The sequence below is a fragment of the Homo sapiens genome, chromosome 10 (genome assembly GCF_000001405.40).
Source record: "Homo sapiens chromosome 10, GRCh38.p14 Primary Assembly".
NCBI lineage: Eukaryota > Metazoa > Chordata > Mammalia > Primates > Hominidae > Homo > Homo sapiens.
In genome coordinates, this window is record NC_000010.11 from 110,609,166 (window position 1) to 110,633,146 (window position 23,981).

The following is a 23,981-nucleotide window of genomic DNA, read 5'->3' on the forward strand; positions in this document are numbered from 1 at the left end:
TGGTGGCGGGCGCCTGTAGTCCCAGGTACTCGGGAGGCTGAGGCAGGAGAATGGCGTGAACCCGGGAGGCAGAGCTTGCAGTGAGCTGAGATTGTGCCACTGCACTCCAGCCTGGGCGACTGAGCGAGACTCTATCTCAAAAAAATAAAGTGGCTTTCATATCTCCACTTTTTCTAAGTTAGGACTTTGAAGGATATATTTAGATCCAGAGATACAAAATTTTTTAGTTTAATACCTTAATTTTATAGACGAGGAAATCTGAAGCCCAGATTAGGTAAGTGACCCAAATGAATAAATGAGCACACACAGCTTAATAACCCACAGAGCCAGAACCAAGTCCTGGCTTTCCTTCGCAAGCAGGACAGACTCTAATACATTAGCTCTTTTTTTCTCCCAAGTTAACTATGAAAATGGGAGAGAGATAGTACAGTGTTGATTGATCCTCCACATGACACAGAGAAACAGATTTTAAGGGCACAATTCACCATCTCTGGTTTTCTTTGCCTTTTGCCTCCCCACTCCTCCTATTTTCTTTAGACTGCACTTATTTAGGTACACTCTGATCACTTATCTCAGTGTCTTAGGGGGACTGGATTACTCCTGGCTGCCAGTCTTCTGCATGAAAGATGCCAGCGTTGCTCCATAAATCTGCCACCATGTGGCACTCACTCTCCCCTTCCTAGACACAGAGTCTCCTGGGTGTAAGAGCCCTTGTGGCAGCCAGTAATTGCTCAGGGACATGAGGCAGCCTAGCGATTAGGTTTGCAAGAAGCACATGGATTTATTTCCTCTCTCAAGTCCTCACATTGGTTGGTATAACTCTATTATTGGAAAGAGACATTAAGGTTTGAATGTTATCTCATGGATACTTGTGTGTTCAGATCAGTGCCTGGAAAGTTGATTATCAAACATTAAAGTGTACAGTGATCACAAGTCCTGCTTTGGCTTTATAAATATACACCTAAAATTATTCAGTAATTAACAATGATGGCGGTAAAGGCTGGAAACATGGAACTACATATGGGTGGAAAAAACCCACCACCATAGAAAATTGAAGGACACGGGTTTAAGGCAAATCATTTGGGACTAAGTTAACAGAGGCAGTTAAGGTATAATGTACTAAAGGTCCCTGACACTTCTGAGGCAGAGGCCTTTGCTAGGAGAGGTCTTCAAACACAGGAATCTATCGTACCACTTCAGAATTAGAAATGATGGCTGCAAAGGTAGATAAGGCTGAGGCTTTCTTCATCATTGGGCTGCTGCTTTGTCTCCCAGTAATTACTTCACTTTTTTCCCAGAGCCACTAGAGGGGGCCCTTGACACATGCCAACCCCTCCATTTTTTCAGTCTAGTTTTTCAAACTCTAGTTTCTTAGAGTAGAGTTCCAGGAGCAATGAGATGGTCAAGGTGTGACATTCTTGAGATTTCTCTGTTGCAAGAGTTTGAGCTACGTGTTAACTGCAGCTCAGTAATTGGATGCTTTTAGCCAAGGTACCTAGTGCTTGCAACAGGTTGGATTGCTGCTTAGAAAGGTATGCAGCAGCTGTTTAATGGGATCTTGTTAACAAAATTTGCAGTCTGTATTAGGGTTCTCTAGAGGGACGGAATAGGATAGATGTATATATGAAGGGTAGTTTATTAAGGAGTATTGACTCACATGATCACAAGGTGAAGTCCCGCAATAGACTGTCTGCAAGCTGAGGAGCAAGGAAACCAGTCAGAGTCTCAAAACCTCAAAAGTAGGGAAGCCAACAGTGCAGCCTTCAGTCTGTGGCTGAAGACCTGAGAGCCCCCGGCAAACCACTGGTATAAGTCCAAGAGTTCAAAAGCTGAAGAGCTTGGAGTCCAATGTTAGAGGACAGGAGGCATCCAGCACGGGAGAAAGATGAAGACTGGAAGTCTCAGGAAGTCTGCTCTTTCCATCTGCCTGTTTTATTCTAGCTGCACTGGCAGCTGATTAGATGGTGCCCACCCAGATTGAAGGTGGGTCTGCCTCTCCTAATCCACTAACTCAAATGTTAATCTCCTTTGGCAACACCCTCACAAACACACCCAGCAACAATTCTTTGCATTCCTCAATTCAATCAATTTGACAATATCAGCCATCACAGTCCTTTCTTGCAGTAGCCCTACTTGTTTCTCCTCAGAGCAGTTTTTTCCTCTATACTTTCTCAATCTTCATATAAACCCAGAAGAGTTTGTTCTATTATAATTTTCCTCATTTGCTCTGTCTCTAACCTTGCATCCCTTAATTGAAACAGCTTCACCTATGTTGCTTTTCAGTTTATCATTTTTAAGTCATCTCCCCAACAAGACACTCCGAATCAGCGTCTCTTATGTTCTTTCACAGAGTGAAGGGAATACTTGCTTCTTTTCTTGTTAGAAATCTTATTAGAATCCCTGTAGCCTTGCGATTATGTGGCTGTTATGTGAGATTATTATGTGCTTTAGGATTGTTCCAGAAGTCCCATTTCCCTACTGCTTAAGAATAAAGGGTTCATCCCCATGGTGAGCAGGCATGTGGGAGCCCACACACAGCCCTGCCCCTGTACCTCAGCACAGGGGTCACACAGCAGGCTAAATCTCATCCTCTGAGATGCAACATCTGCCTTGACACTGATGGGAATGCTGGCATGACCGTGGAGCATGGCCTTGTGATGGACAGAGCTCATCTCATTTGTGAGATTCTGAGAAACCTCAAAAAAGAGAAACCACTGAAGCTGGTGCCAAACAGGTCTTCTCAGTGATCCTTGCCTTTTAGTTTTTCTTTTTCTTATGCACATGCTTCTAGGCAGGGGGTCTGTTCATCTAACTTCTGCCCTTGGCTAAGTAGATGAAAAAGAGGGGTTCATTGATTTCAAGTAATTTCTTGATCCCTTGGGGCAGAAGGATTACAGTCTTTCAGAGATAGTTTCTTTTTGTATATCAATGTATGCACCTTGTGCATAATAATTACCTACTAGCTACCAGATGTGCGCTTTTATCGTCTCTCTTAAGGGCAGTGACTTTGAAGTGGGTGGTGGTAACCCCAGTTTGCAGAAGAGGAACTAAGTTTCATGAGGGCAAAGTAACTTGTCTAACAATTTCTGTTGGAAAGCAGTGGAACTGAGAGTAGAGTCCTGGCTTATCTTAGTCCACCAACCTCTCTAGTTGCCATTTTAAAATTCAAAATGAAACCAGTGCCAACACTTGTAGACAGACCAGCCACAAGGAAGGGCAAAAAGCACCTTTGAACCAGATGGTTTCAGAGCTGTCTACAAATCTGGGCTGTATTGTTTCCTGCTGTCTCCATCCTCACAGCCTTGGGACGCCATGCCACAAAAGCAGGAGGCTTTGTTTGAACAAGATCCTGGGTGATGGAGGCTCTTTCAGATGGCACCTGAGGAGGAGCCCCTTCTCTTGCGCTGTATGCCCCACGTGCATCTTGGCAGAGTAGTTGCCAGCTGAGTGCCTTTGATTCTGCTATTCTCTAGCAGTTAACTTTCAACTCCTCTCACCTGGCCCAACCCTAGTCTCTACTCCCAGTTTTGAAAAGGAAAAGACTAGTGGAGGATTGGTAGTGGGAGGACTGGGAAAGGTTGCACGCCGAGCACTACACTACCACTGCCCTGTGCCTGTTCCTGACCCTGCCGCTTAGCACTCTGCTTTCTCGCAGGAGCCTGGCCCAGCCCTGCTTCATCTGCCCACTCTGAAGAGCAGGATTGTGGTTCTGCCCCCAAGCATTTCATTTCTCTTTTGGTTCTCACATCCAATTAAATGTGTTTCACTTTGTAGTTTGTAGGTATAAGAGGGTTTTTTGTTTGAGAAAGAGTCTTGCTCTGTAGCCCAGGTTGGAGTGCAGTGGCATGATCTCAGCTCACTGTAACCTCTACCTCCTGGGTTCAAGCAATTCTCCTGCCTCAGCCTCCCAAGTAGCTGGGATTACAGCCTCCTGCCACCATGCCCGGCTAATTTTTGTATTTTAGTAGAGACGGGGTTTCACTATGTAGGTCAAGCTGGTCTCGAACTCCTGGCCTCAAATAATCTGCCCCCCTCGGCCTCCCAAAATTCTGGGATTACAGGCATGAGCCACTGCACCCAGCCATAAGAGGGTTTTTAAGGAGACACTTGGGACATTTGACGTAGGGAGGTGTATTAGTCTATTCTCACACTGCCATGAAGGGAATACCTGAGACTGGGAAATTTATAAAGAAAAGAGGTTTAATTGACTCACAGTTCCACATGACTGGGGAGGCCTCAAGAAACTCACAATCACGGTGGAAAACACCTCTTCACAGGCTAGCAGAAGAGAGCCTAAGCACCCAGTGAAGCGGGGGAAGCCCCTTATAAAATCATCAGGTCTCGTGAGAACTAACTCACTATCACGAGAGCAGGATGGGGCAAAACCACCCCCATGAATCAATTATCTCCACCTGGTCCCTCCCACGAGATGTGGCGATTATGGGAACTACAAGATGGGATTTTGGTGGGAACACAGAGCCAACAATATCAGAAGGGATATGGATGTTGACAACTCAAAACAGTTCCAGGTAGCCAAGCTGTCAGACACATTAGGGCAGGTGCAGGGGTAACAATTTGCCGCAAGGCTAAAGGCTCTGCAATGTGTAAGACACACCCCTTTTCTGTGCCCCTGTACTCTATTTTAGCTCCAACAGACTTAGGTCTAAAGAACGTGCAAGGTCAGAACTCTCTTCCTCTTTTTTTTTTTTTTCCCTGCTTCTAGGGGTCAGAAAAAAACTCATTTCTGAATCAACCCTGTGCTTTTCCCCAGTTATTTTCCTGTCACTTTAAAAACAAATACCCATTGTCTTCTATTATTTTAGAGTGAAATGTCCCTTTAAGACCCTGTACTCTGTAAGTTCTGTGCTGGGGCCATGCCTATCCGTTTTTGTTTTTCTTATTTTTACCCAGTGTTTGTCGAATATACAGTAGCTGGCACTTACTGAGCACTGACTATGTGTCAGGCTCTATGCTGAGTAATTTCTGTTCTTTGTGGCAGACAAACCTCACAACAACCCTGAAAGAATTACTGTTCTCTGCATGTTCCAAAGGAGTGGACTACACCTTAAAGAGGTTATTACCCATCATGGCCATGCAGCTGTAAGTGGTGGAAGCCAGCTTCACCGCAGGCCTCGTCCACCTCAGAGGTCCACAATGACGGGGAGCCTCTCTGGCGATGAGTGAGTGTTCCACCTGTGGTAGGCTAGCTCCCACAATACCCTGGCTGCTTCGCCCCTCAGAGACTGCCCCACAGACGACTGCCGTCTTCACCATGGTTCTCTTTAACTAGATTCTACCCATAGAGAAATGAGGAATGGGTGCTGGAGAGAAGCTGCACTCTGTGGAGCCCAGTTCATCTGCCCCCGATCTCCCCACCCCGGGGTGAACCTAGTGGTGAGGTAAGATTCTGGAATAGCCTTGCCAGAACTTTGTCTAGAAATGTGTGCAGAACCCAGCGTACTATCTTGTTAGCAAACTGGAGAGGTTCTAATCTAAACCTACCCAGTCCTTGCCTCATTATCAAATTCACTTGAAAGAGTGATTTTTCTAGTCTCTCCCCTTGGAGATTCTACACTGGATCTCGGGCAGGGCCCAGGAGGGCCACAGGTGAGACCTGCTAACCAGGGAAATGTATTGACCTCAAAAAGTGGAGTTAGGTGGGCTAAAATTTTGACCTTTGGAAAGGATGGTTTGTGAACCTGGGAGACATCCTTTTTGAGGCATCTATACAAAAGAAAGCAGCAGAGATTTTTTGTTTTGTTTGTTTTTATCCAATGAGGAAAGTGGAATTTATCTTTGGTAAATAAACAGTGGCACAGCAACTGGGTATAGAGGGGAGTCTCTGAAACTGGCAGAATTTTAGACAGAAAGGCCCCCAAGCTGGAGGGCTGGGGTTACAGAGATGAGTGAGCCAATGTCTGCATCCTGACCAGCCACAGTAATGTGCTACTGCCCCATTTTACTTGGGGCTATTAAGCTCATTCCTTTCTTGAGTGGAGAGTAATTTTAAACCAGCCAGTTTGATTCATCAGCCTCCTTATTAGAAGAAACCTGAAGCTCACAGCTGATGAGTCTGTGCCAGCAGCAGCTCTGAGGGTGGGACTTGCTGGTAATCACAGCCCTGGTGGTGCAGATATGCTGCTGGGGGGCCTTATGGCTGCTCCTTGCCACCTGATACTGTCCTTGTACCAGTGGTTTCTAGGGTGCTTCTGTTAAAAGCTGCTGTGGTCACACATGAAGTGTGACCAACTCCATAGTTGTCTCCTCTAGCCCAGCCCACCAAGAAAAACCCTAATGGTCCCTGCCCAGCATTCAGAACTCAGACTTGAAGCATCCCTGATCTCTGAGTCCACACCAGGCCCTGTTCCAGTAGGAAGCCCCAGGTCTGGTCAGTCTGTCACAGGCCTCATTATGATTCAGCTTGCCTTCCAGAAGGCTTCCCACCCTGCTGCCTTCATTCCTGGACCTGAGGAGCTGCTCCTTGCAGTCTGCCATCTTCCATATTCACCCCCACCTCCTTCAAAAAACTCGTATCACCAAGACTTCTGGAACGTTCCTTTTACTACATGAGAATTTTTTTGAGGTTTCTTTTCTTTGAAACACTCTCTCATAGAGACCAGACTTCCTCATCCACCTTCTCTCTCAGGTTTAGGAAGAGGGACCAATGAGCTCCTGGCTTGGTGGCCACTTTGCTTGACCACTGTTGTTTAGCCATCACCTCTTCCAGTTCTGTCTGCTCCTCTCCCCCACCTCCCCCACACACCCCCACCCCACATATTCCCACCAGCATCCTCAGCACCATTTACTCAGGACACAGGGGCACTTCCTGCCTTAAGCTCAGTCTTCTTCTCCACCCTACAGCCTGTCATCCTTCACAGTGACTTCAACCTTCTTCCTCCCAATTTCCACCCTCAGAGGTCCTCTCACCCCAATTCTGACATCCTCTGGAAACTTGAGATCAGCGTTGAAGCATAATTTTTGCAAAGTTGAAATCATGATTCTCATACAGGCTATAGTGAGAATTTGTCAGGGACTTATTAATGAGGGAACCAGCAGGATGACAAAAGTTGTCTAGGACATTAACCTTTGGGCTTATCTTTTCTTTTCTTTCTTTCTTTTTTTTTTTTTTGAGATAGAGTCTCACTCTGTCACCCAGGCTGGAGTCAGTGGTGCAATCTTGGCTCACTGCAACCTCCACCTTCCAGGGTCAAGCGTTTCTCCTGCCTCAGCCTCCAGAGTAGCTGGGACTACAGGTGCCCACCACCATACCCAGCTAATTTTTGTATTTTTAGTAGAGAGGGGGTTTCACCATATTGGCCAGGCTGATCTTGAACTCCTGACCTCGTGATCCACCCACCTTAGCCTCCCAAAATGCGGGGATTATAGGTGTGAGCCACCGCGCCCGGCTCTGGGCTTATCTTTTCTAGCAGACAAGAGTCACTTCCAATTTACCAGCCTCTATTTCCCTGTAAGTTAACATCTCATTTACAGAGTCTGGGTCTAATCAGTAGAAAACAGTGGGTCAATTGAAGCTACTTTCCCCTGGAGAGTCAGATGACCCTTAGAGGGTCTGTTGGACCATGCTCTAGTGTGGCTTTGAAAGAACATCCAGTGAGCTTGTCATGTCTTTCCAAGTATTAGATACATTTCCAAAACATAGGAAGCTCCTCTGACCACCCACTTCAGGCCTCAGAGCATGGCCATGAGGAAGGCAGCTCATGGACTCTCAGGGTAGAAGGCAGGCCTGATAAGGAGCAGCTCAGGTCAAGGTCCATGTGTGTGTGGGATGGTGGGAAGGAAGGGAAAGTGTACAGGGAGTGGGGTTAGGGACCTGCACCATAGGGATGAATGATAGATTTGGGGAGTGACTCTTTGGTTTTATTCAACAATCATTTGGTAAGGACCTGAAATATAAAAACCTGTAAGTTTGATGCTTTGATTAACCAATTTTTCTGATGGGAAAACTGATTAGGAACAGGGTCGAGCATGGTGGCTTATGCTTGTAATCTCAGCTACTCAGGAGGCTGAGGCAGGAGGGTCACCTGAGTCCAGGAGTTCAAGACCAGCCTGGGCAAAGTGAAAAAAGTCTTGACAAAAAGTTAAAAAAAAATTATCCAGCTGTTGTGGTACACGCCTGTAGTCCCAGCTACTCGGGAGGCTAAGGCAGGAGGATCCCTTGAGCTCAGGAGTTGGAGGCTGCAGTGAGCCCTGATTGCAACACTGCACTCCAGTCTGGGCAACAGAGCGAGGCCCTGAGACTCTGAGACCCCATCTCTGAAAATAAAAATAGATTAGGAAAGAGTCACCAACTAAGCGGGAAAGACCAGTATTACCAGGCCTATGTGGGAGCTTCCACATCACTCCACACACTGACCCAACTGTGTGGGAGGCCGCTGAATGGGTGGTAGAGGTGACACTGGATGTGTGTGTGTGTCAGTACACACTGAACACTGAAGTGGGAGGTAGAAGGGACACTCTGTGTGTGTGAGTGTGTATTGTGTATAAACACACCCTGAGTGGGAGGTTGAGGTGACACTATGTCAGCATACGTATGTGTATGTGTGTGAGCACACACTGAAGTGGGAGGTAGAGGAGACACTCTGTGTGTGTGTGTGTGTGTGTGTGTGTGTGAGAGAGAGTGAGCGCACCCTGAGCGGAAGGTAGAGGTGGCACTGTGTGTGTGTACATGCTCATGTACTGGATGGGAGGTAGGAGGTGACTTCCTCCAGCAGCAGGTGCAGAGCCCAGGCCTGGTGTGGTCTGACACATCTAAACAAAGGCAACTGCAGGATTCCACACATCCTCACTGCAGGGCCCTCATTCCTGTCCTTCTTCAGCACCAGCTGCCTTGGACCCCAGGGAATGAGCTCAGCAAGCGGGGGCCACAGCAATGACAGCAGCTGGCACGGCCTTTGACAGATTTGTGCTCCAGCTTTAGCACTGTTCCCAGGAAGGATGGGTCTCTGCCCTCCTGTGGACTGGAAGGAGGAGGAGGAGGAGGTAGGGAGGGGGGTAGTCTGGGGCTTGTAATTGGATAGGAGGCTGTGATGGTGGCAGCTGTGGCAGGGGCCTGAGGAGGGGGCTTGGGTGGATGGAACGAGGTTGGGCCTGGGGTTTGGACTCATTCATCACCCTGGAGGCAGCTCTCCTGGGCACTGGAACTCTCACTCTCACGTCTACTCCAGAGTCCCTCATGTCACCCACACAGCCTGTGCAGGCATGATGTTTCCTAAGTGGGGAGAGCCCCAGGAAGCACCCACTCATCGAGGGAGACAATACACATAGACTCTGGAAAAAGGCGTGGGTTTTGAGTCTCAGCTGTGCAACTTGTTAGTTGTGTGGTCTTGGGCAAGTCTGTTAACCTTTGCCTCCATTTCCTCTCTGGTAAAATGGAGACATCACACGAAACTATCTAAAAAGGTGGCTTGAGAATTATGTGTGAACAGAGTGCCTTGCGTGCAGTGCTCGCTATGTGAGACTTAGGTTTAGCTTTTTGTGCCAGTTGGCAGCCAGGTTACCTTTGTAATATTTGGGGCTGGGTAAGTTTGCATGTACTCACTCTGGAATGGGCTCAACAGCAGCTCCTGAAGAGGGAAAGTTTTCCTACAGTTATTTATTATTGTGTAACAAACGTCACCAAAACTCAGGTAGATTAAAACAAGCACCATTTGATTGCATCTTATGAATTTGAAGATCGGAAATCCAGGCAGGACTCACTAATGAGTGGTGGTTGCCTAAGTGGGATGGAGAGGGCAGATGGACTGGAGGGCCCAAGACGGCATCGCTCCCGTGTCTGGTGTGTGTTTAGGGGAAGTGAGAAGGCTGGACTCAGAGATGCTGTCAGCCAGAGGCCTGCAAGTGAGTTCTCTGGCCTGGCGGTCTCAGCGTGGCTGGACTTCCTACATGGAAGCTCAGGTTTACAAGAGGGAGTGCTAACTAATGGCTAAAGTAGAAGCTGCTAAGCTGCTTATGACCTAGCCTTGGAAGTCCTAGAACATCACTTCCACATCATTCAATTTGTCAGGTGAGGTACTAAGCCCAACCTAGTTTCAAGCAGAGGGGAATTTGGCCCCACCTCTCCATGGAGGAATAGCCATGATTTTGCAGCCGTCTTTAATCTACCACAGCTACCCTCAACAAGGATCTTACAAAGTATTTCTCTGCATAGAATATTTCCAGGGCCATCTTGGGAGAGAACTAGATCAGTACTGGATCAGCCATCAGGAAACCTGGTGTTTGAATCCAGCCAACCATCACTTTGAGCTCCCATTACACTAAAGACCCTATGCCTGATGCTGGGAACTTGAAGGGAGGAAAGAGTGTGCTCCTGGTTTCTAGATCTCTGCCTGGATTTGCTTCTAATGTAGTGACCTCAGGCAAATCATATCCCTTCTTGGTGCCCACTTCCCTAGTGAGTAGGACAAGAAGGAGCATGGATTTGCTGCCCATGAGCCCTTTCCTAGCACCAGAGCCCTGTGAGGCTGACTGGCACTACTGGGGAAACAAAGAGACCTCCCTGGCCTCATGCCAACTTTCCAGCTGGTTCCAGAGGTGTCTATGCACCTCTCATCTTTAGCAAAGTCAGAGAAAAACAGCTTCACAAAGCTCCACAGGGAAGAGGTAACCTGGTCTGCCTAGAAGATTCTCAGCAGGACTTCTTTAAACTGCCAGCTCTCCCAGAACTCTGGAAGAATTGGATATACAAAAAGGGAATTCCTGGCCCTTTCTCAGCAACACTGAGACATAAAGCCCCACTTGCTCTGTGAACTCCAGTATGTTGAGGAATGAGATTTGCAAGTCTGGCTGAGCCAAGGTGTCAAGGGGGAGAGCCCCAGGCCATGTGGAGCCCCTCTACTCACTGGCTGTACACTGATCTCCTTGCCTGGAGAGGTCCCCAGAGCAGGCAATCAGTCCAGATGGGGATCTCCAGAAGGCTTAGCAGACCACCAAGGCCCCAGCCTCTCCCCTTCAAGACCACCCTGGAGTCTCAGATCCTCTGGGTATCTATGGGCCAGGCCATCCCAGTGAGGGAGTAGGGGAGCCAGGTTCTGACCACCAGTGGAGGAGGTGGGGGAAGGGAGTGTAGGCAGAGTGCTCTGGCCTGGAGCCAGGCTGTGGGATTTGCAATTATCCGGGGGCCTGTAAATACTTGGAGCCGCTTTTTAATCTTGAGGCCACGAGTAATTGAGCCAACTGTGTGTTGTATCCTACAGCTGGGCCCTGCTTCCTCCCACTCACAGACACACACACATTTATTTACACCTGTTACACACACACATACACACCCCATTTAGAGAGAGAGAAGTACCTTGTATGGAGTGTTTATACTCTGTGCTAGCTGTGCGTTAGGTGCTTTTCGTACAATATCTCATTTAATTGTTACATCAACTCTGTAAGGTGGGCCCTAATATCCCCATTTTGCAGAAAAAGAAACTGCCCCAATGGGAGGTAAAGTAACCTGCCTAAAGATCCACAGCTCATAAGTAGCAGAAAGAGGACTTGAGCCCCTATTCCCCTCCCTACTAGCTCAGGCCCTTCCATAGGCTCAGTCCAAGGCGGCTAGACATTGCCTGACATCACCTCTCTTTGGTATCTAATGGGGACATTGGACGTAAAAATGACTACACATCTAAAAGAAAAGGTTGATAAATTCTTTAAAAAAAAAAAGAAAAAAACCCTGCGTGGCCAAAAAGTACACCATAAGCGAAGCTAAAAGACAAGTGTCAAGCTAAGAAAAAAACATGCCATTGATATTAAGGCAAAAGGCTAATCTTCTTAATATATAAAGAGTTCCTATCATTTATATGAAATAATGCCAAAACAATTTTAAAAATAGGCAAAGGATAAAGACTCTTCAGAAAAAGAAATACAAATGGTTCTTAATAAAAAGATGTTCATCCTCACTTATAAAAAGAATAATACAAAGTTAAGCTATACTGACATTTACATTTGGCAAACAACTCAATTCCACATTATACAAAGAAATTCTACAATATAATCAGAAAAATACAGATAACTCAATTTTAATTTTCAAAATGGGCAAAAGGTCTCAAAAGCATTTCCCAAAGCCAATACACATTGGAAAGTCTTCAGAGAATGTGAATTAAAATCACAAATTACTACTACATATCCACCAGTGTGGCTAAAATTAAAAAGACTCACAGTATCAAGTGTTGAGGATATAGAGCAACTGAGACTCTTGTATACTGCTGGTGGGAGTGTAAACCACCACCATTGGTATAACCACTTTGGGAAAAGGTCTGATGGTCCATAAACCAGAACATACAACCACGCTATGATTAGTAATTCTACTCATAGTTACATACCTCAGATAAATTAGCACATTTTTACCACCCCCAAAAAGGTTTCTCATGCCCCTTTGTAGTCAGTCCCCTTGGTCCCAGTAAACCATTTATCTGCTTTTTGTCAACATAAATGAGATTTTTCATTTCTAGAAATTCAAATATATGGAATAATACATTATATACTCTTCTGTATCTTGCTTCGGTTGCTCCACACATTTTTGAAATTCATATGTTGCTATTGTACTCCTTTTTATTGCTATGTAATATTCCATCATATAAACATACCACAATTTTTAAAATCCATATACTACTGATGAATATTTAGATTGTTTCTAGTTTTTGGCTATTATGAATAAAGCTGCTAAGAGCATTTGTATAGTGGTCTTTGTGTAGATGTATCATATTTTAAATTCTTCTGGAGGAATTTAATTTCAGTAGGTGAGCAATTTCTGGGTTGTATAGGTTGTATAGTAAGTATATTTGAACTTTATTAGAAACTGCTAAACTGCTCTCCAAGTGGTTGCATCATATTATTTTCCCACCAGCAGTATATGAGAGTTCCAGTTCCTCTGTACCCTCACCAACATTTCATATCACCAGTCTTTTAAATTTGAGCCATTTGGTGGGTGTACGATGCTCTTATTATGGTTTTACTTTGCATTTCCCTGGTAACTAACAATGTTGAGCTTTTTAAAAGTACTTCTTGGCCATTTGCTTATCTTCTTTTATGTTTTAAATTTTTGCTCATCATAAAAAGTCTCCTGATTTGCATTCTTAATATAGAGTTGTAAAGTTCCTCCTATATTCTGGATGCAAGCTATTTGTTAGATATATGTGCTATGAACATTTTCTTCCAGTTTGTGTCTTACCTTTTCATTTTCTTAATGGTGGCTTTTGAAGAGCAGAAGTTCTAATTTTAATGAACTCTAATTTATTAATCTTTAAAGTTTGTGCAAAGATTTTTTTTCTATTTTTTATTTGAAATTTTATAATCAGCATTTACATTTAGGTCTATGATTCATTTTCAGTTAATTTTTGTGTATGGTGTGAAGTGAGGGTCAAAATTTATTTTATTTTATTTTATTTTATTTTATTTTATTTTATTTTATTTTATTTTATTTTATTGAGATGGAGTCTCACTCTGTCTGGAGTGCAGTGTCACAATCTCTGCCTCTCAGGTTCAAGTGATTCTCCTGCCTCAGACTCCCAAGTAGCTGGAATTACAGGTGCCTGCCACCACACCTGGCTAAGTTTTGTATTTTTAGTGGACTCAGGGTTTCACCATGTTGGCCAGGCTGGTCTTGAACTCCTGACTTCAAGAGATCTGCCCACTTTGGCCTCCCAAATTGCTGGGATTACAGGCATGAGCCACTGCGCTCGGCCCAAGGTTTAATTATTTTTCATGAAGCTATCCATTGGATTCAATACCATTTGTTAAAAAGATTGTATTTCTCCCATTGAATTATCCTGGCACCACTGAAAATCAATTAACCCTATATGTATAGGCCTATTTCTCACTCTATTCTCATCTATTGATCTCTATATCTGTCATTCCATCGATACTAAGCTGTCTTGATGACTGTAACTTAATGGTAATTCTCAGATTTAGTAGTGTAGGTCCTCTGGATTTCTTCCTTTGTCAAAATTGTTTTTAGCTATTTTAAGTTTTCTTTTAACTTTCCATTTATATTTGACAATCAGAATATCAATTTTTATTTTTTTTAACTTTTATTTTAGGTTCAGGGGTACATGTGCAGGTTTGTTATATAGGTAAACTTGTGTAGCGGGGATTTCTTATACAGATTATTTTATCACCCAGGTACTAAGCTTAGTACCCAACAGTTATTTTTTTTCTGATCCTCTCCCTCCTCCTACTCTCTGTCCTTAAATAGACCTTGGCGTCTGTTGTTTTCATCTTTGTGTCCACATGTTCTCATCATTTAGCTCCCACTTATAAGTGAGAACATGTGGTATTTGGTTTTCTGTCGTGCATTAGTTTGCAGAGGATGATGGCCTCCAGCTCTATCCGTGTTCCTGTGAAGGACATGAACTCATTCTTTTTTATGGCAGCATAGTATTCCATGGTGTATATATACCACATTTTCTTTATCCAGTCTATCACTGATGGGCATTTAGGTCTATTCCATGTCTTTGCTATTGTGAATAGTGCTGCAATGAAGATACATGTGAATGTGTCTTTACGGTGGAATGATTTATATTTCTTTGGGTATACCCAATAATGGGATTGCTGGATCGAATAGTAGTTCTGTTTTCAGCTTTTTGAGGAATCACCACACCACTTTCCACAATGGTAGAGCTAATTTACACACCTACCAAGTGCACTTGTACACCCAGCTGCCCAGATGGGAACTCTGTTAGCACCACTGTTAGCTTCTCCCTTTCTCTCATTCCTCATATCCAAATAGCTACCAAGGCCTGTGGGTTGTATTTCCTGAATTTTATGAAACATGCCCCTGCCTCTCCACTGCTGTGCCATTATCTCAGTGAAAGCCACCACTGACTCTAGTTTGCACAAATGCAGCAGCATCCTAATGGCTTTTCACAGAATTCTTACTGATTACAAAGGAGTTACTAATTACAAAGGAGTGGAGAAGACTAGCAGACACCATCTTAGTCAACAGACCAAAATGAACATCATTATTAACAGGACAAATTGAAACCATGAACCACTTGATAAGATGCAATGAGAAAAATCACTTCTGTGATACTCCTGCCAAGGATGCATAACCTGAATCCAAGTATGGAGGAAACTTAAGGGACATTCTACAAAATAACTGAACTATTATCTTTTTTTTTTTTTTTGAGATGGAGTCCCACTCTGTGGCCCAGGCTGGAGTGCAGTGGCATGATCTCAGCTCACTGCAACCTCTGCCTCCCTGGCTCAAGTGATTCTCCTGCCTCAGCCTCCCAGATAGCTGAGATTACACCCGGGTGGCTGGGGTGCACGCCACCAGATCTGGCTAATTTTTTTTTTTTTTTTGTATTTGTAGTAGAGATGGGGTTTCACCATGTTGGCCAGGCTGGTCTTGAACTCCTGACCTCAGGTGATCCACCCACCTCAGCCTCCCAAAGTGTTGGGATTACAGGCATGAGCCACCACGCCCGGCTGACCTGTTATCTTGAAAATTGTCAAGATCATGAAAGTCAAGGGAAGATCAAGGAACTATTCCATCTTTCAGCATTTAAGGAAGCTGAAGAAACGTGACAACTAAATGCACCATGTGATTTGGAGCTGGATTCTTTTGCTATAAAGAAAATGATTGGGACAACTGGCAAAATTTTGTCTGAGGATTAAAAGAGAGTAATGCAACTATGTGAAATCCCTGCTTTTGAAGGTTGTATTGAGGTTATGCAGGATAAATCACACACTAGAGACCAACCTGGGCAACACAGGGAGACCCTTGCCTCTCTAAAAAAAAAAATTAGCTGGGCATGGTTGGGCACATCTGTGGTGCCAGCTTCTCAGGAGACTGAGGTGGGAGGATCTCTTGAGCCCAGGGCTTGGGGCTGCAGTGAGCTGTGATTGTGCCCCTGTATTCCAGCCTGGGTGACAGAAAGGCTTTGTCTTAATACTCCCCCACTGTCCTCATACCCCACCAACCTCCAAAATAAAAAAAAAAGTCAGTAAAGTGTTCAGGAATAATGAGGCATCAGGTCAGCTTCTTACTCTCAAATGGAAGAAAAGAAGTTACTTGTACTTCCAAAGTTTCTGTAAGTTTGTGCTTATTTCAAAAATCTTCAAAAAAGTACACATAAATGATACATATTTACTTCTAGATTTATTTATATTCTCTATATAAGAAATAAATATAGATAAAATACATACAGAAATAAATTCACACTGAAACTTCCAGTTCCAGTTTCACACCATAGAATTTATTCTCATTTTCTCCCTTTACATCTTTGCAGCCCATTTCTCCAGTGGCAAGAATTCTGGTTTCATTATCCTGAATGTGTTGCCTTCTTTGATTAATCCCTCTGTATGTGACCAATGTCCATGTCCTCCACTAATCCTTCCCTCATCAAACACTCTCCTCTCCGCTTGGGCCCCAAATCCCCCATTCCAGGCCACCTGTCACCTACGCATAGATGCTCTCATCAGCTCGGGAACTCAGCCTCCCCACATGTGGACGCCCTCTTCACTCCACTTGGACTCTGACACCCATGCTAGGCTGGGCCTCTGCCCCTCCCAATGAATGTTCTCCTTGCCCCACCCGTTCTATGACTCTCCATATTGGGCCACCACTTCCCCACACCAGCAGATTCCCTTCTCACCCCACTTGGTCTCTTACCTTTCGTGCTGGGCTGCCCCTCCATGGGACAACTGCTTTGTCCTCTTCCCATTCTGATTCCCATGACTTGCCACCTCCCAAATGGATGCCTCCTCACCCTCCACAGACTCCAACACCCTCACTCTGGGTCACTGCAGTGTTATCCTCCCCAGTCCCCACCCCCATGAATTGTTCAGCAAGGAAAGGAGAGGGAAGGAGAAGAAGCAGTTTCCCATTTTCTTTTTTTTTAGTAAATGAAGAAACCGAGGCTTGGAAAGGCCACATTACCAGCCTGAAGTCAGACAGTTGATAAGTGATAGAGATGGAATTTGAACCCAAGAAGTCAGTCTCCAGAGTTCCTGCTCAGGCCTGCTATGCTGTGGCCTGTTCACAGGGCGCCCTTGACACCACTGCTGCCTGAGTTGACTCAGTTCCAGCCCTATGAGTCTAAACTGTACGATAGGTGTTATTTCATTTCACAAATGGGAAAACTGAGAGTTGGAGAACTTAAGTACCTTGCCCAAGGCCATGCAACCTGGAAGCAGCCTGGATTTGACCCCGTGCCTTTTGGACTCCAGACTTATGAGGGTAATCACTGTGCCAGAGGGCCCAGAGGGAAGGCAGTTGACTCTGACTTTCAATTCCTGTCTCATCCCAGGAATATCTGACTCAAGGCAGGGTCCTTGTCTGACTTTTGGGGGTCTCCTGGCTCACTCTCAGCTGACTAAGGCAGTGTGGCTCAGAAGCAAGTACATGCAATTTGAGTCTTTGCCACTTACTTGCTGTGTGACTTTGGGAAAGCCACCCAATCTCTGAGTAGACACAATAATGGCACTCTTCTGGGTGGCCATGAGGAATCAGCGAGAGAGCAGGTCATTTGCTTGGTATGGGGCCTGGCCCAGGGTGGGCTTTCAGTAAATGGAAGCTCTTACTGTTGTAAAAACAAACCTCAGAAGGCAGTGAGGGAGGTCTTGTCCAGCACCTAATAGAGAGAAGGTGTCATGGAGAGTTCAGAGGCATGGAGACTAGGAGTGGGTGGAGAGCCAAGAGCTTTTACCCTGAGTTTGATCATCAGGCCATGGAGGGTCATTCCTTTACTGCCTCCAAGCAGGAGTTCTTAATTAAGGCAAAGCAAATTATTATTTTGTTTGTTTCCTTTTTTTTCCCCCAATAAGCCTTTTGCACTCCTAAGACAAAATAAATAATTACTGGTACATTTTATTAGGGTCATCAAAGGAAGCCAACAATCTGTCAGTGGGATGTGGAATGCAGGAAGCACTACCTCCAGGGACACCAAGGTGTTGTTGGAGTTGGCTTCCCTTTTTCGGGGGTGTTAGAGAGGTAGAGCTGAGACCAGTGGGATGAGCTGCTCTTGTGGGATGGGAGTAACTTTCACGAGCTCCTTCATGGTTCCAGCTTGTGGGGCCTGGGCTCACCTGCATGCCCCAGACCTGTTGGATAGTGGTCTCAACTTTTCACTTACTCCTTCACTGACTCCCTCAGCCTGAGGATTCAGGTTGACCATCTAAGGATCTGGGCTCTTAGCTGCCCAGACAGAGATCTCCAGATGCCAGGACCCTCCCAGAGAGAGGCTGGACCCTCTGGTCCACTTATTGCTGGTGCCCCCAAGAGATTTGCATACGAGGAAAAGATCACACCCTCCAAATTCAGACAAGCCTGAACTTGAACCTTGGCATGTGTGTGCCCTAAGCTAAGTTTCTTCACCTTCCCAGGCCTCAGTTTCTTCATCTATAATGTAAGGCCAAGTCATGCATACCTTATATGGGTGTTGTGAAGGTTAAGTGAGTGTCCTTCGTTATTCCATAAGCCAATGTTTGTTGAATGTTTGCTGTGGTTAATTTTATTGTTTTCAAATCCTGGCTGTGCTCCTAATTGGTTGAGTGACCTTAGAAGATCTTGCTTTAACATCTCCTATAGTATGGGTCTGGTGGTGATAAATTATTTCAACTTTTGTGTCTGAAAATGACTTTATTTTATCTTCGTTTGGAAGTTATTTTTGCTAGACGTGGGATTATAGGTCAACAACTTTTTTTCAATACTTTAAAGATGTTACTCCAAGTCTTCTCACTTGCATTGTTTCTGAAGAGAAATCAAGAAACCTGCTGTCATCTTTTTCTTTGTTTCTCTGTATAAAATATGTTATATATAGAATATGTTTTTTAAAGATGTTGTTTTTAGAGACGTTTTAGATTCAAAGCAAAATTGAGAGGAAAGTACAGAGATTTCCCACATACTCCCTGTCCCAACACATGAATAGCCTCCCCCATTATCTGGTGAACATTCTTCACTAGAGTGGTACATTTGTTAGAGTTGATGAAACTACATTCATGTCTATTATTTTCCTCAATCATTGTAATTTTTATCACTACAAGTTCTATTTGGATCTTTTTATATATCTTTCATGTTTCTACTTAACTTTTTAAACATATGGAATGCAGTTTTAATCATGGTTTTAATGCCCTCTACTAATTCTAACATCTGTGCCATTTCTGGGTTGGTTTTAATTGATTATTATCCCCATGATGGATTGTGTTTTCCTGCCTCTTTGCATGCCTAGTAATCTTTGACTGGAAGCCAGACATTGTGAATTTTACCCTATTAGGTACTGGATATTTTGTATCCCTGTAAATCTTGAACTTTATTGAACTTTGTTCCAACTATTACTTGGAAACAGTTTGATGCTTTTAGATCTTGCTTTTATGATTTTTAAGGCAGACTCAGAGAAGTACTCAGTCTTAGGCTAATTACTCCTCAGAAGATCTTCCTAAGGCAAGATCTTCTTGAATACACTACCCATTGAATTTGGAGTTTTTCCATTCTCTCTGGTGGGAACAGGTATTATTGCCGGTCCTGTGTGAGTGCTGAACACTGTTCTCTCAGATCCTTTCAGATGATTTTTCTCCTGACCTCACACACGTGCACTGATTAGTACTCTGCTGGATATTTGAGAGGGACCCTCTGGAGATCTCTGGGTTTCAGTCTCTGTGCAGTTCTCTCCCCTCTGGTACTCTGTCCTGCGAACACTTGCGTCTTGGTCTTGCTAGATTCTCAGCTCTGTCGCCTCAAATCAGAAACGCTACTGGGCTTTAGTTGCCTACACCCTACCACCCCCCTACCCGCCCCCGCCACCCCCTACCCCCAGATTGTGCCCTGGAACTCTTCTCAAGGCAGTAAACTGTAGCAGTAACAGGGCTCACCTTGTTTGTCTCCCATTGTTCAGGGATCATGTTCTTTGTTTCCTAATGTCAAGTGTCTTGAAAACCATTGTGTCATGTTTTTCTGTTTTTCTTGTTGTTTCTGGCAAGAGGGTAAATCCGGTCTCTGTTAATCCATCGAGGCCAAAAGTGGAATACTCTTTTTTGTTTATTTATTTTTTTGCCAAGATTCCTACTTGGTTCTTTTTCATTACTCACCTGTTCCCTTTTTTTCTGCCTATTTCACCTTTATTTTGTTCTTATATACATATTATTTCTTAGTTTGAGCAACTTAAACATATTTTAAAGTATCTGTCAGATAATCTTATTATTTTAATTTTATCTGTATTAAATTTTTCTTCCTGTTGTTTGATTTTGTTGGCTTTTTTCTTAGGGTTAGATTTTTTCATTTGCTTAAAAATCTTGTTTTTCAGGTTCATTTTCAGTAGTCCATGGAGATGTTCATTGTGCTTTTGAGCAAAGATTACCTTTTTTCCCCATATTTCATCTATTATTCTTACATGCTTGGAGCAGCAGTAGTTCTTCAAAGTATAAACTTACAAAGCAATCTTTAAAGTCCCAACATTCTATGTTTATAATCTGGTGTTGTAGAAAGGTTCAGGCTTTCAGTAGGCCAAAGCTCTAGTTTTGAATCCTGGCTCTGCCGTGTGCTCCTGTTCAAGTTTTTGAACTTCTTTGAAATTCAGTTCTCTTGTTCCTAAAATGTGCATAATGCCTATCTTGTATTATGTAGAGTTTTTATGAGGATTAAGTGAAATTTCCTGGCAGGGTTTCCCAAATGTTGTTGACTTTGTAATTGAAGCTATGATTGACTCTCCCATGCAGCATGAATGAAACAGAGAAAGTTGACACTGTGCCAACAGGTGCAAAAGAAGCTGCTGGACTTTTAAAACAAAAGGACTCCAAATACACCCAACTGTTTACATTTAGCATGAGTGGTCCCTGATCCAACTTCTGTCTGTGTATTCTCAGAGGGAGTGGGTAGAACACACAGAGGCAAGGAATGCGTGCTATTTCTGGAGCCAGAAAGCAACACATCCAGCAGCAGGAATAACCTTCGTGGTGCTGATCAGTTGCTATGACTCTGTAGATGCAGAATTTAACCAGCCAAGACCTGTGTTTTTCTTAGCCTGGGGATAGAGTCAAAGAAAGGCTCATGTCATTCGGAACCAAACTGCCAATACTAATAATAGGCTGGGGCCTGTGGGTGGCTTAGGTATGGGAAGTGGGAAGCTAGAGCTAGTTTTGAACAAAAAAATGCCTCAGTTGAGCCCTGGTGGTATGAGGATGCTCTCCTTGGGTATATATATTTTACATTCCTGGGTCTTCCTGTCTTCCTTCCAAACCAAGAATCCAGCGCGGTAGATTTGTCTCCACTTCCCAGTCATCTCCAGGTTCTCTTTGTGGGAACCCACTCCCTGGGCTTGCTCCCTAGATCCTCTCTAGGGCTGGCCACTCTGACTCTCTGAAGTCATGGGCAACCCCATACTGATTTTCACTCCAATTACTGACTCCCTTTTTGTACAGAATTTCCCTTGTGGCCAGTACACCCATCACAAGGATACCAGAGGGGAAAACTAAGGCAGGACAGAACTGGAAAAAAGTAGGTGACTACTTTCAAGTCACTTTCACATTTAGAAATTTATTTGATTGACTGAAGACCTATAAAGCAAGTACGATATAATACTTATTTTTACTTTATTAACGGGGCTCAGAGAATTGGTAATAAACCCAGGTCACTTTGACTTTAATGACAAAATAGAAATATTTGTGATAGTTATTTTTATAGAAATAGAATTTGAAATTATAGAAACTTTGAAGTTGTAGAATTATAGAGCTATCATTTTATAAGCTCTAAAATAACTATTTTCATTCTGTTTTTTTCTTTCACCTACTATTATTGTAAACAACAACAAAATGACTGCCATTTATGAAACACATGTTCATATTGGGCACCATGCTAAATATTTTACCTATTTTCTCTCATTTAATTATAACAACAAACCAATATTACAGATGCTGCTAGCCTCATTTTCTGGATGTGGCCAAAAGGAGTTTAAGTAACTTTTCTATCATTTGGCATTCTTACATAATTGTCTTCTTAAGTTCCTACATAATGGTTACAATTATCATTTTTAATTGCTATGTACTAATAATGCCCCTAATTCACTTAATTCCTTCTGCCTTGTTAGGTATAATGATTAAAAGAGCTGGGAGACATTCATTCATTCATGTATTGAACAAGTATTTAATTAGCACTTGCTATGCTATCATATGCTGTGTTATATCCAGGGAATACAATGGTGAGTAGGACAAAAACACTCACCTTCAGAGAGCACTCACAGTCTCATGGAATATGTAGCCAGCAAGAGGCAATTAGAAGACAGGGTGGTGATGAGGGCAGTTCTTGTTGCTGTGGGAGTGCAAAGCAGGGAGCCTACCTCATCCCAACAATGTCAGAAGAACAGCTATCAATTAAGACGAGAAAAGTAGAATGATTTGAATGGCCACTAATTTACCATATGCAAAACCAATGAGGGTGCTATGGTTTGAATGTTTGTCCCCTCCAAAACTCATGTTGAAGTTTAATCCTAAACGTGGCAGTATTTAGAGAGGTAGGGCTTTAAGAGGTGATTGGGCCTTATGAACAGGTTAATGAATTAATGGGTTATCATGAGAGTGGAACTGGTAGCTTTATAAGAAGAAGCAGAGAGACCTGAGCTAGCACACTCAGCCCCCTTCCCAAGCGATGTCCTGCACTGCCTAGGGACTCTGCAGAGAGTCCTCACCAGCAAGAAGGCCCTTGCCAGATGCAGCCCCTTGACCTTGGACTTCTCAGCCTCCATAATTGTAAGAAATAAATTCTCTTTCTTTATAGATTCCCCAGTTTCAGTATTCTGTTATAAGCAACAAAAAACAAACTAAGAGGGCCACCAAACACATACCACCCATGATGCTTTAATGGAACTTGGGTCTCCAGGGATCCCAGGAATTCAGATACATTAGGATTTGGAGCCCCAAACTATTTTCATTTCCATTGTTATTTTACCAAAGGCTTGTCATTCTCTAGGCCAAAGAGGCCTAAAACAGCATTGTTCATGTCTTCATTGTTCTGATGATGATGATGATGATGATGATGGTGGTGGTGGTGGTGGTAGAGGTGCTGGTTTTGACTGCTTTCATTAACTGAGCATCTCCATGTGTCAGGTACTTTATAAGTGTTATTTCACTGATGTTCACAACAGCCCTATAAGGTGTTATACCTTTATTTTTTTAGATCAGGAACTAAAACAGAGAGATTAGATAGCTTGACTTGCTCAAGCACAGCCTGCTAATAAACAGAGAAGGAGCCAATTCTCTAAGCATAGGAGTTATATCATTTAGATTGTGAGGAACAGTGAGTGTGCTGGATTTACTCTAAAGGTTCTAGTGGTGGGTTCAAGTCTCTTTCAAGTATAAGCGGAATTTGATGCATTGTTGCTTGCTTGAAGATGGTGGAGCCACTTGAGAGGGAGTGTAGTGGCCTTAAGAGCTGAGAGAGGCCTTCTGTTGATAGTCAACTAGAAAATGAGGACTCCAGTCCTACAACCACAAGAAACTGAACTTGGCCAACAACTTGAATGAAGTTGGAATCAGATTCTCACCTAGAGCCTCCAGATAAGAGCCCAGCCTGGCCAATATCTTGATTTTGGCCTTGTAACATCCTGAGCCGAGAACCCAGTTGAGCCATTCTGGATTTCTGACCTGCATAACTGTGAACAAATAAATGTGTGCTCTTTTAAGCCCTTACATTTACAATAATCTGTTACACAACAGTAGAAATGTAATGCAGCAGCTCTTGCCACATAGTCACTTGATGTTCCATGGTTGGCAAGATCAGAGGCTCTGTCTCTACCAGGGCCAAGTCACCCACTAGGAACTATTTTCCAAATGCTGTAAATTTCTGCTGCACATGTCATGACTTGCTCCAGAGCTCTAGGTGTCTACATTGTGATCCCCCTACTGGGGCTTGTAATAGATTCAATATGTCTTTCCTTCCATAAATGCCTCTCATGCTATAGGATCCTCTGTGTCACATGGTCCAGGTAGCAGAGTTACTCATGCCCAGCCTGGACTTTCTGCAGAATCCTTTCCCAGGCAGTGCCTCA

General features: G+C 43.8%; 3 annotated features.

The window, feature by feature from the left end:
• Window positions 2,092–3,029: an enhancer, noted in NCBI's record as "NANOG-H3K27ac hESC enhancer chr10:112371015-112371952 (GRCh37/hg19 assembly coordinates)". NCBI's record gives its function as "activates a minimal SCP1, AML or CMV promoter by ChIP-STARR-seq in naive H9 embryonic stem cells {active_cell/tissue: H9 hESC(naive)}" and the evidence as "EXISTENCE:reporter gene assay evidence [ECO:0000049][PMID:30033119]".
• Window positions 3,204–3,353: an enhancer, noted in NCBI's record as "active region_4039". NCBI's record gives its function as "activates an Ori minimal core promoter by ATAC-STARR-seq in GM12878 lymphoblastoid cells {active_cell/tissue: GM12878}" and the evidence as "EXISTENCE:reporter gene assay evidence [ECO:0000049][PMID:35858748]".
• Window positions 5,262–5,311: an enhancer, noted in NCBI's record as "active region_4040". NCBI's record gives its function as "activates an Ori minimal core promoter by ATAC-STARR-seq in GM12878 lymphoblastoid cells {active_cell/tissue: GM12878}" and the evidence as "EXISTENCE:reporter gene assay evidence [ECO:0000049][PMID:35858748]".